The sequence below is a fragment of the Homo sapiens genome, chromosome 7, assembly GCF_000001405.40.
Source record: "Homo sapiens chromosome 7, GRCh38.p14 Primary Assembly".
In the NCBI taxonomy this organism is placed as follows: Eukaryota; Metazoa; Chordata; class Mammalia; order Primates; family Hominidae; genus Homo; species Homo sapiens.
In genome coordinates, this window is record NC_000007.14 from 121,946,411 (window position 1) to 121,958,739 (window position 12,329).

Below are 12,329 nucleotides of genomic sequence, written 5' to 3' on the forward strand. Positions count from 1 at the left end.
AAAACTGGTTTACTCCCTATACTAATCCTAAAAACAGTTGTCATCACTCTTAATTCATTTCCTGGAAAAGAGACAACTGACAACAAAGTAGCGAGAAGGTCCCATAGAGCTCCAATAAACAGTGGTAGTAATATTTTGTATCCTGTTGAACAAAATAGGAAACCTTGAGTTCAAATTAATATAAATTGAGAATTGAAAAAAATAAATTTAATGAAGAATGAGATATTGCTATAACTTCAAAATACCTCCCCTCAAAATACTTTCTAATTACAAGACAGAGAATAATATTGCAGTGGAAAGCCTGACAGATACTTTAATCAAGTGATCAAAGTAAACGTCAGCAAAAATTACCTTTACAGAGATCCTGTACCACTGACTAAGATACAGTGAGAAGAAAAGAGCATATTTTTTGTGACGTTTCTAATAAAAATGCATAACCTGAAGAGACATCAGACAAACTCAAATTGAGGGACATTCTATAAAATAACTGTAGTCTTCAAAAGGATTGAGATTACGAAAGTCGAGAAGAGATGGAGGAACTGTGTCAGATTGAACGAGAGAGGACAAGTAAAGGCAACATGTGTTACTGAATGGAAACTTATTCCCTAAAGGTTATTATATTGGCAATATCTGAACGAAGCATAAGGACTCCATGGTACTAATGTTATCAATGTTAATTTCCTTATTTTGAAGAGTATATTGTGATTATATAGGAAAATATTCTTGTCCTTAAGAAGCTCAGGCTGAAGTACTCAGTGTCAGTGGGATGTTGGCACTATTCACTCCAGTGGTTCAAGAAAAAAAAGTCTGTTCTGTACTTGAACCTTTTCTCTAAGTTTAAAATTATAAAAAAAAAAAAGATATACAACAATTACTTAATAGGACTTGCATTTTAAAAGAGAAGTACAAGTTGAAGAAGGTTAAAATGAAGCCTTTTAATATTTAACTCCATAGTCCTATGTGTTGCTCTGCTATGCTGACGATGCATGAAAATTTTAATTGCTTAATAAGAAAGAAAGGGAAAGATAATATCATAGAGCTCACAAATATGAGCCTACCAAAGCAGAAATTAGATTATACTAGTTTCAACTATTGAATTACCCTGTAGTTTAAATTGAAAAACAAAGATAAATCAATTAGTAATTCTATATCCAGTTTAATGATTTTTCCATAAAAATTATTTGGCTTATAAAACAATACAAAAGTCTAAGAAATATATCATTTAATATGGGCTTCCCTTTATTCATGTCTGCCAGCGGTTCTAACTAAAATAAATGGAAGCAGGATGTTGCACTGAGGATTTGCTTTGTAGCTCTTTACCAGTTTATTAGCCTCTATTTGAAGATTTTTTTTTTATGAGGCCAAATCCAGACTAAATTAAATAGATCTGGCATGGTAACATATCATTTTGGGTTCTAAATAAGTGATTCCTTTTAATGTGCATACTGAAATTTTCTCACATGACAAACTGGGACACATGAAATGGAATTTCACGCACTATTGAACTGAATTCTCGGTAGCTGCTGTGAAATGTTTGGGGAGTTTTAGTGGATTTATCCATTTTAGTGACCATATTTCCCCTCACATTTGTGAAATGCATTTTGCTGTTATTTTAGTTATTCTGAAAATGTGAATTCATTTACCTGCCTGTTCAGAGAACAGGCATGAGAGCTAAGGGAAATGATGATAAGCACAATAACAACAACAAATACAGGTGATATTCACTAATTTATTCATTCAATACTAACTACAGGGACTAATATTGAATGAATAAATTGGTGAGTATCACCTGTCTGTTAACAGAACAGGTAAGTAAGTACCTGCTCTAATTAAGCTTACATTCTATTAGAAAGAAAAAGACCAAAAAAAGCAAATAAATAAATAATTGCAGAGTATGATAGCTATTGTGAAAAGAATAAACCTGGCCAAACATGGTGGCTCATGCCTGTTATCCTAGCGCTCTGGGAGGCTGAGGCAGCGGGATCTCTTGAGCCCAGTAGTTCAAGACTAGCCTGGGCAATGCAGTGAAACCCCATGTCTATTTTAGAAATATAAATAAATAAGAATAAACATGTTGATATGATAGACAATAGCTTAGCAAAGGTGGGGAGGACCTTTCCAAATGGGAGACATTTCATCTGAGGTATGAAGAAAGAAAAGTAGCCATCTGGTGACAAGTAGAGGATGAATGTTTCAGGCAAGGGCAGGGAAAGTGCGAAGGCACTGAGATAAGAAAAGTGGCTGCTTATGGAAGAGAAAGCAGAGTGTGATAAAATGGAGAGTCCAGCAGCCATTATTTTGTTATTTAAACCTCACAGTGATGCTGTGAGGTTGGTCCTCATACAATCCATTTTTTTTTTTTTTAGGTAATATTCCTGAGGAATAGAGAAGTGAAGAGACTTACTCAAGGTTATTTGTTGATAAATGGTAGAGACAGTGTTTTCACCCAGAAAGTGTGACTTCAGAACCCATGCATTCTGAACATTATATAGTGTTACTTCCTGTGAACCCTAAAAATGTGAGACAGGTCTCAGTTAATTTAAAAAGTTTATCTTGCCAGGGTTGAGGATGCAAGCCCATAACACAGCCTCAGGAGGTCCCGATGTGCCCAAGGTGGTCAGAGCACAGTCTGGCTTTATACATTCTAGGGAGACATAGGACATCAGTCAACACACACAAGATGAACATTGGTTCTGTCTGGAAAGGTGGGACAACTCGAAGCAAAGGTGGGAAGACTGGAAGCAAGGAGGGGGCTTCTAGGTCATAGGTAGAAAAGAGACAAATGGCTGCATTATTGTGAGTTTCTTATTAGCCTCCCCAAAGGAGACAATCAGATATGCATTTATCTCAGTGAGCAGAGGGGTGACTTTAATTAGAAGGGGAGGTAGGTTGGCCCTAAGCAGTTCCCAGCTTGACTTTTCCCTTTAGTTTAGTGATTTGGGGGCCCCAAGTTTTTTTTCCTTTCACATTTCCCAAAGAAAGTACCACGCACATATGAATTACTGTTGTTATAATGATAAAGTTGAAGGCATGTTTTATAGCCTAGAAAACTCATCTATATTATCATATTTTGCTCCATTCAAAATACTGTGCCCAACTCTAGGTGCTAAACTTTAAAAAGATTATGGACAAATCGGAGAGTATTTGGCAGAAGGCCCCTTGATTGGTAGAATCTTGACATATGAGGAGCAGTTTTGACTGTATCATGAAAAAGATAAGGCTCAGGAAACTACAAGGTGGTCAGAGCACAGTTTGGCTTTATACATTCTAGGGAGACATGGGACATCAATGCCAGTATTGATATATTTATGGGGCCTTCATATGGAAAAATAACTAAGCATTTTGGATGGCCCCCAGTAGGTACAATTTGGAGAGAAATATAAAAGCTACAGAAACCTACTTTGATAGAGGAAATATTTTTTTTCACATTGAAAAATCCAAAATTGGAATAAAGTATTCTGGGAGAGATAGAGACTCCAATATCAAAGGTATTTAAATATAAGTAGAAAAACCTGTTATTGAGAGTGTCCTATAGTGAATTCAAGCAATAATGGGTAATTGAACTGTATTAGCCCATTTTCATGCTGCTGATAAAGACATACCCGCGACTAAGCAATTTACAAACGAAAGAGGTTTAATTGGACTTACAGTTCCACATGGCTGGGGAAGCCTCACAATTATGGCGGAAGGCAAGGATGACCAAGTCACATCTTACATGGATGGTGGCAGGCAAAAAATGAGAGAGCTTGTGCAGGAGAATGCCTGCTTTTAAAACCATCAGGTCTCATGAGACTTATTCACTATCACTAGAACAGCATAGGAAAGACTTGCCCCCATGATTAAATTACCTGCCACCAGGTCTCTTCCACAACACATGGGAATTCAAGATGAGACTTGGGTGGGGACACAGACAAACCATGTCAGGAACTAATGTGGTTTTTCCCAATCCTGAAATTCTTTGATGGACAAGTTATCATCAGAAGACAGGATAATCAGAATTCAACATACTTGATTTGACAGAGCATGGAATAGAAACCTGATGCCAGATAGTGATAAAGAAGCAAAGTAAAATCCAAGATAGTAGGCTTGCAATGAAATACAGAAACTGCCATGTCTTCTCTAGTTATCAAGGGGACTGGTGATCTGGCTCAGACTAGAAAGCGGGAGTAGCCCTGCCCTGCCTTAGTAAGTATGTATGCAAATTTCTACACTGAATATTATCTCCTCTTCAAAACCTATACTGAGACCCCAGGGAAGTGATCATGTGCACAATCCTTATTAGATTACCTGTAATTCTCGTTGCATTGATTTGTTTATCTGTATGTCTTCTTCTTTTAGCCCTTAGTCTCACTGAAAGAAAATTCATATTTGTATTTTCAGACTTAGGAGTGTTACTAGAAAATATGTAATAACTAATACAACAAGTAGCAGACTGTTGAATATCCAGGGAATAAGAGAAGTTCAAACAAAGTCAAATTTAGAAACAGAACGTATTTGTGGCCATAATTTATTTTCTAATTACCCATCAAAGTTATAGATATGTATGCTTTGAATATGGTATCAGAAGACTAAGTCATAAAATATAATTTTGATTTAGAAGATTATAAGATCCAAATGAGTCAATACAAGGCATGAGGAATTATGATCAAATTAGATTTTAGATCTGGAAGATTTCTTCCATTTTATGTTCTAGAGTTCTACCAAGTGAAATCACAATGAATTAATTGAGAATAAATGTTTTATTCCAAATCAGTTTGTCAGTTTTTATAGAGATATGATCTAGAATCAACTTATTTGAAACTTCCAAAATTTTAGTTCAATTTCTTAAACAAAGGATACTGCTGTCTTCTTGGAGCTGAGAGAGATACAACCTCATTGCTACTAGCATTACCTTTACCACAGAAGAAAAAATACTTTGTAATAATTTTTGATATTACTAGTATCACTTTTAAAAGTTTTATTTTGAGTAGTGAAAAAGAGTGATTTATTTGAAGAAATGTCCTAATATGACTCTGATGTGAACACCTTTCAGAAGTGTGGTGTTTATTATTTGGTAGTGGCAAATGTGAAAACATAGGCATTGCATTCACTAAACTATAGCGAACAGAGAATTTGCTGACCTGTAAGTGCATTGTTGACTTTTACCTTGTCCTTAACTTTGACCCTTCCTCAGTATTAATGAGTTAAAAATGTCTCAAACAGGTGTCAGCTGGGGTTCTCAACCTTTCAAAGATGTGAGTTATGCTCAAAAGCCAGCCTGCCTCTTCATCTCCTCAAATTCCACTACCTGTAGAAGTCCTAAGCCCTCCTTAGAATTTCTGTGACTTCTCAGGGGTTTTCACTTCTTAGTGCCTGCTTCACTTCCTTTGCCCCAGCTTCCTGATAAACCTTCTCTGTCCAGTTAAACAAAGGCAAGGAACCTCCTCATCCAAAAAGAGAAACTACTTAAATATACTGTTACTGAATAGACTGTTAGAGAATCTTCCCCTGGGCTGAAAAAGTAGACACAAGTTTAGATACCTTTAAATCCATGCGAGTGTATTTATTTATTTATTTTTTTTTTTTTGAGACGGAGTCTCGCTCTGTCGCCCAGGCTGGAGTGCAGTGACGCGATCTCGGCTCACTGCAAGCTCCGCCTCCCGGGTTCACGCCATTCTCCTGCCTCAGCCTCCCGAGTAGCTGGGACTACAGGCGCCCACCACCATGCCTGGCTAATCTTTTGTATTTTTAGTAGAGACAGGGTTTCACCGTGTTAGCGAGCATGGTCTGTATCTCCTGACCTCGTGATTGGCCGGCCTCGGCCTCCCAAAGTGCTGGGATTACAGGCGTGAGTCACCGCGCCCGGTGAGTGTTTTTTTTTTTGTTTGTTTTTGGTTTTTTTTAGCATAATAAAGACTTGAAGGTAGCTGGCACCTGTAATTCCAGTGCTTTGGGAGACCAAGACAGGAAGATTGCTTGAGGCCAGAAGTAGAAGACCATCCTGGGCAACATAGAGAGACTCTATATCTACAAAAGAATTTTAAAAATTAGCTAGGCGTGGTGGCACATGCCTGTAGTCTCAGCTACTTGGGAGACTGAGGCAGTAGAATCACTTGAGCCCAGGAGTTCAAGGCTTCAGTGAGCTACAGTCACTCCACTGCATTCCAGCCTGTGTGACAGAATGAGCACTGTCTCAAAAAAAAGAAAAGAAAAGAAAAGAAAAGTTTTGAAGAATCAATTTATTAAAAATCAAATATAGTTGGCTTTCATAATGAGTTTAATAATTTACTTTGAGATTAATAATCCCTTGGCAATGACTCCTAACATTTTAGTTTAAAGCTTTTCTCTTAGCCTTTTTATGTATACATTTAAAGAGCAGAGGCACATGCTAATATAATGAACTATTGCAATGAGTCTATTTGCAATGTAAGCTGATGATCAGCTTGTTTTAGCTGATTTATAAATTGCCATGTACCAGAATTACTTATACTAAAACACATAATTTAAACATCATCCTTAAGAAATGAGATAGAAAAAAGGAAAAGGGTCAGTATTCAGGCTTCTGCCCTGCTTATGAGTCTCTTGATTGACACTAATTAAAAAAAAAATAAGTGGAAATTCAGGAAAGAGGTTAGAGGCAGCAATAGGCAAGCTGTTTAATGTCACATTTGAAAAAATTATCTCTAATTCTTGAAGTCACTTTTAAGATTTTAAAAAGTCAAGCCATAAATTTGCTATCTTTAAATAGGAGTTTGGTTTAATTATCACTTAAGCACTTTTTTACTTTCTCATTTTAGGTCTTTAATTTGGGTATTAATTTTTCATCTATTTTATATTTCACAGGTTGTATTGCTCTCATTAGACTGTTTGTTACAAATTGCTTGTGAAGAAATACATTTTAGGTGTCATAATTTTCCTCAAATGATATCTGTATGAGTGTCTATCAAACTTTCACTTGGTTTGAAAAGACAATGATGCAATAGTCAGACTGGGAAAAGGTAGATGAATGGAAAAGGCAAACAGGTCTTTATGAAAAACAATGCAGATGATCTCTGGTGTCACATAATGTTTATTATTATTCAGCTATGTACATACTTGAAAAGATCCATTGTCATTAAATTATTTTTTATGTCAGCCTTTATTATCACTTTGCAATACAAAGAAAGCAAGGTGAAGACTAACTTTTCTCTTGTACAGAATCATCAGGCTAAATTTTTGGCATTATTTCAGTCCTTGGAGACATCTGAGAGATTCCGGGATGCCAGTGGTGCCTCTCTGGCCACACTGACAACAAATAATTCACCTAAGGAATAGTTCACTTCAGCTATTTTTTGCTACTCATTGGTTGTCAGTGCCATTGAGGAGAGCTCAGTGTAGATCAAAGAAAACGGTGTAGATCAAAGAAAACGGTGATTCGGTGATTGTTCCCCTTCTTCCCAGCCACCCACCATCTGAACCTAATGCATCATTGTACAATGGCCGTAAAGGATGACAAGGGACTCAGCAATCAGTTCCTGGAGGAAATGATGCTGTGGCTTTTGGCTGGTGGCACCATCATCCTCAGTCATCAGTCAGAGTCATCAAAGTGATCATTCATCCATTCACTCCCTCCTCTGTCTCCACCCCACAGCTAATCAACTAACCAGTTCTGAATTTTTTCTCAAATATTAAATCTTAACTTTTAAATCTTTCTCAAATCTATCTTTCTTCTTATCTCTGCCCTAGTTTAGATCCGTAATAATCTTCACCTTACCAATTGGTAGAACCTTCTAACTGACCTATCTCCTTCAGTTTTGTCTTCCTTAACTCTGTAACCACAGTTACTTCCATAAAATTTAAATATGACCGTGACACTTGCATCTTAAACACCTTCAATAGCTTACTGGAAAAATTTTAAAGCCCTTGTTCTGGCATGCAAAGCCCCCAAATTTTTCCATTTATTCTTACAGCCCCTCCACTCACTGCCTTGCATTCCATGTCTGAGCACATAGAACCTCCTACTATTCTTCCCAAACAGCCATGCACTCTGTCTTCCTAGATGCCTTCAGCCATGAATTTCTTCCTTACCTTCAGTTGGATACCTGTTTATTGAGACTTATTTCAAGTACCTTTTTTATCTAGAAAGCCTTACTTGTCTCATATCCCATCTGGGTTAGGTATCTCTCTTTGGTGTCCCTGGAATACCCTATGCATATTTCTGCTATTATATTCATTAGATTATATTATAATTGACAGTTTTTATATCTTTGGTTCTCACTAGAACATGAGTTCTTTGATGATGGCACTTTTATTCATCTTTGAATCTTTTGTACCAGGTAGATATTCTGTCTCACACTAGACACATCATAAATATTTGATAAATTAGTAAACAAATGAACAAATAAAAGCTGCAATCAGCAGCGTTAAGTTTTCATGGGATCTGTGGATAATATAAAATACAGAATTCCCAGCTGTGGCAGCAGATTTATTGCTATCATAATGGATCCACAGCTTCTTTCTTGTTCCTTGAATGTGACCAGTAACAATGCACCTAGGAGATCTGATGTAAGAGTATTCTGTGATAAGTGTATACAGAAAGGAGGAACCGATGACTCAAATAGGAATCAAGCCAGAAGCTTCTGCCATATGGGCAGCATGGACTTCAACCAAAACAATGAAACAGTGCTGTGGTTTAGCAGAGGTCCTACCATGAATAGAAGGATACCAGGTTGCCACTGTGTCTCAGACTGCAACTCTGTGTCATTGACCCTTTTACCAAAGGTAGGAAACAGAGCTGTAGTCATGCCCCATATCTATAATAAGTATGTGGATAATAAGCATCGAGTACAGCCCTGATGGTAGTGTCACTGTCAGAGACTTGTGTTGTTTTCCATTGCACTGCTATTTCTGTGCTATGAGAACTTAGCTCATCAGTTATTGAAGAAGGGGGAAAGTTAATGACCACAAGAGGGCTTATGATGACCCTAAGGCAACTTTCAGAGCTATTCTGCAAGAAGAGAGATTTTTATTTCCCAAACCAGGGGGTAATTTCCACCAGGGCTTTGTTTGTTTGTTTGTTTGTTTGTTTGTTTGTTTTGTTCTGCATTTGCCGTCTCATTGGTAATAACAAGACTGCAGCAACAAAGGAAAGAAATCTCACTCCATTTCTCTCATAATTCCATAAATAGTTTGCCTGCCTTTCATTGAGGGCAGTTAGTTAACATTGAGGGCAGCTAGTTAACAGCAAGAGCTACAGAAAAGTCCTGTAATTAATCAACCTGCATTGCCTTCAGTCTGAATCTGAGTATTAAAATTCAGTAGGTGCAATTAGACAGAATCAGGCAAATATAAAGGTCATAACATTAGTCACAGTGTCACCTTATTTCTGAGCCTTTTCTTTCTTCTGAAGTGGTGTCTTGTCAGTGGGGTGATAGAGCAACAAGAACTCTCTGTTGTTATGGGAGTTTGTTAAATTTTATCTGCGATTTTTCCAATTTTAATTAAATACTTGATACCAGGCTGCAGCAACAGAAACACTGCTGTATTGGGTTTCAGCACTATCACTCTATCATCTTATAATTTAAAGTGAAAGATAGGAGGACTTTGGGGTTCTGACGGTTTGATAGCTTTTTAAAAATTACCTTTCTTTCCCCATACCAGATTAGAGATGGGGGTGGTGGGGAGAGAGCTTCAGCATCCTCTCGCCAGAACTTCCGGTTCTCTAGCTTTTTATACATCCTACTCACACTCGTCCTACTGATTTCCACTTAGGACTGCAACTACCCGTCCTCTCTGCTTGTCCATCAGGAATATTGACTTTCCCAAACATTTCTTAAAAATTGAAAAGTTAAACCAAAAATACACACTTTTATTTTCTTATTTTTATTTTTTCTAAGCCAAACTGTATCCAGCTTTATTAAAGACACTTTCCATAAACAATCCTGGAATTTCAGTCAGGACATGGGCAGACAATTATTAACAGTATACAACAACTTTCAAAAATCCTTCTCTAATGGACTACCAAAAATCAGAAAGCCACTATAAAACTCAATGAAGTCTTCATCTGATGCACTGAGCAGGGAAAGTTTTGAGTGAGGGTTGACATTTCACATTTAGCATGTTTTTAACAACTTTTCACAACCGACCCTGACTTTCAGAAATGAAATGAAAATGGCAGAATTTATTTGAAGATTCACAATCTAGAAACATAACCACTGCTCTTTTGAGGCACGCCATCTCAGTGGCACCACTGGAAAGTCCAGATTGCCTGATGCATTGGTGACCAATTAATGGGATTCCGGTCCCAACAGATGTCTGGGTTTAAGGGAGTTAAGTCTATGCTGGAAGGTGGAAAGGGAGAAGAAAACATAAGAACTAATTTGTTTTCCATACCACAAGGCTTTTGCACCAAGGTGGCCATGTATGTCAAAGTCAGGAAATCTTTCCTCCTGGGAACCAAGAGGAAGTCTCTCAAAACTAGAAGGGAAAGGTGTTTCACACATCAATCCAGATTTGGAGACATTTATTAGTGACATATGCTCCTTCCCCCCCAAAAAACAATAATGAAATGTTGTGTCTTAACAACATAGCTTAAAAAAAAAGTAAAACAAAATTCTGCATTTTTATAAAACTTGATAAAAATATTTCAAACTGTACGGTCACCAGTGCACAGTTATCAAAAATGCGCACACTTCGCTTGGCATTTCCAGCACCTTCAGCTTTCTGTGCCTGGTCTCCATTTCTGCAGGGTTATTCCCCTCCTTGCCAGTATCATCTTTTCCCTTTTTCCCTCTGGGTACCTTCTGTCCCTTCTTTGCAGGGCCTTTTTAGGCCTGGGCTCTGGCTTTGGAGGAGCAGGTTTAGCAGACAATCTCGCGGATCTTCTCTGTGGTTCATCCTTCACTTTGGCTGTATCTCCTTTCGCATCCCCTTCAGCCTTTCTCTTGGGCATGGTGGCGGCGATGGTGGTGGGATGTAGGTGCTGGGTGTGGGATGCAGCTGGGCACGGAATGCAGCGTTGCACGAGCTTTGGTCTGTCCAGGGGTCATTCTCACCACTGCTTCTTCCAATACACACTTTTAAATGGTGCTTCTATGGTCTCCCACATCAGGAGAGCCCTCAGTGCTTTCCCTCAGCCTAAAAGTCCACGATTTTATTCTTCACTATTTCCTCAAGCCTATTCTCACACCTGCTCCTCCCTTGCAGTGAATGATACTGATTCCAGTTTTTCTGAGAAAATAGGGAAAGGCGCTGAAAAGATTGTACTGTCTGCCTGCCCATTTACATATATTATCTGATTTAATTTGCACAGTCTGAGATGTGGAGATTATTCTTTCTTTTACAGATAAGGTAACTGAGGCTCATGTAAGTGGTGGTGCTGAGACTGAGCTCATGTTAGTTCAACTGCCAAACTTCTCCTCCCATGTGATGGGATGCAGCTGTAAAACAGAAATACTAGGGCATGAACATCAGATTTCTCACTTCCCTATTCTAAATATAGCTAAATCCATATGAATACATATTCCATGACTCTCTTGTGCTTCTTTCCTCCGTTAGGCTAATAATAGTCTATTCATGCTTTGTTTTTTCTCTTTTGGGATATTTGATCATCAACTTTCCATAACTTCAAACTCTTTCTTTTAATAATTCTTTCCTCTCAATATATACACATACTTATGTTTCCCTCTGTCTTAAAAAAATCCATTTCTCATCCTTGCGTCTGTCTCTGTGTGCCACCTTATCATCCTTCTTTCGTTCACAGCAAACTGTTTTTAAAAAGTGCTTTAATTCTACTGGTTCCCTCTAATTCACTCTGTAGTCTGAATTGCAAGTCTATCATTTCACGGAAATTGATTTATTCTATGAATGTGGGGTTTGGAGTTGGGAAATAACCAAATCCAAACTCATTCTTCACTCATGACACTTAGACGGTCTCTGCTGTGTATGATACCCACTTTGGGATACTCATTGTTGAAACCATGTTTCTATGACTTTCATGATACCATTTTCTCCTGGGTTTGCAATTCCCTTTCAGGCCACTCATTCTTAAGTCCATTTGGTGCCACTGCTCCCCTTTATGCTGCCTAAATGTTAGTGCTTTCCACCATCTTATCACTGATCCTCTTCTTGCTTGTCAACTTTGATTGAAGTATTTCACCCATATCTGTGGTTATAAATGTATGCTATCTGTACACTGATGTTCCCCAGACCAGTGCCTCCCAGACCCATATTTTTTGTTGTTTAATGAACTTCCATTGAAATTTCCAAGTCTGCAGGTTCAAAACGAAATTCAAAGTCTTTCTATTCATAATCTCTACCAACGTGACTGGTACCATGATACACTCAGGTATGTCCCCGTCGGGATTTTAGAA

At 37.9% G+C, this 12,329-nt stretch overlaps 1 protein-coding gene across 5 annotated transcripts in view, besides 1 other annotated feature; it reads left to right on the top strand.

Moving 5' to 3' along the window:
- PTPRZ1 (protein tyrosine phosphatase receptor type Z1) overlaps positions 1 to 12,329 on the top strand; it is a 188,876-nt gene that overhangs the window by 73,250 nt on the left and 103,297 nt on the right. The window lies entirely within an intron of this gene.
- Positions 6,924 to 7,597: an enhancer, noted in NCBI's record as "OCT4-NANOG hESC enhancer chr7:121593388-121594061 (GRCh37/hg19 assembly coordinates)". NCBI's record gives its function as "activates a minimal SCP1, AML or CMV promoter by ChIP-STARR-seq in primed H9 embryonic stem cells {active_cell/tissue: H9 hESC(primed)}" and the evidence as "EXISTENCE:reporter gene assay evidence [ECO:0000049][PMID:30033119]".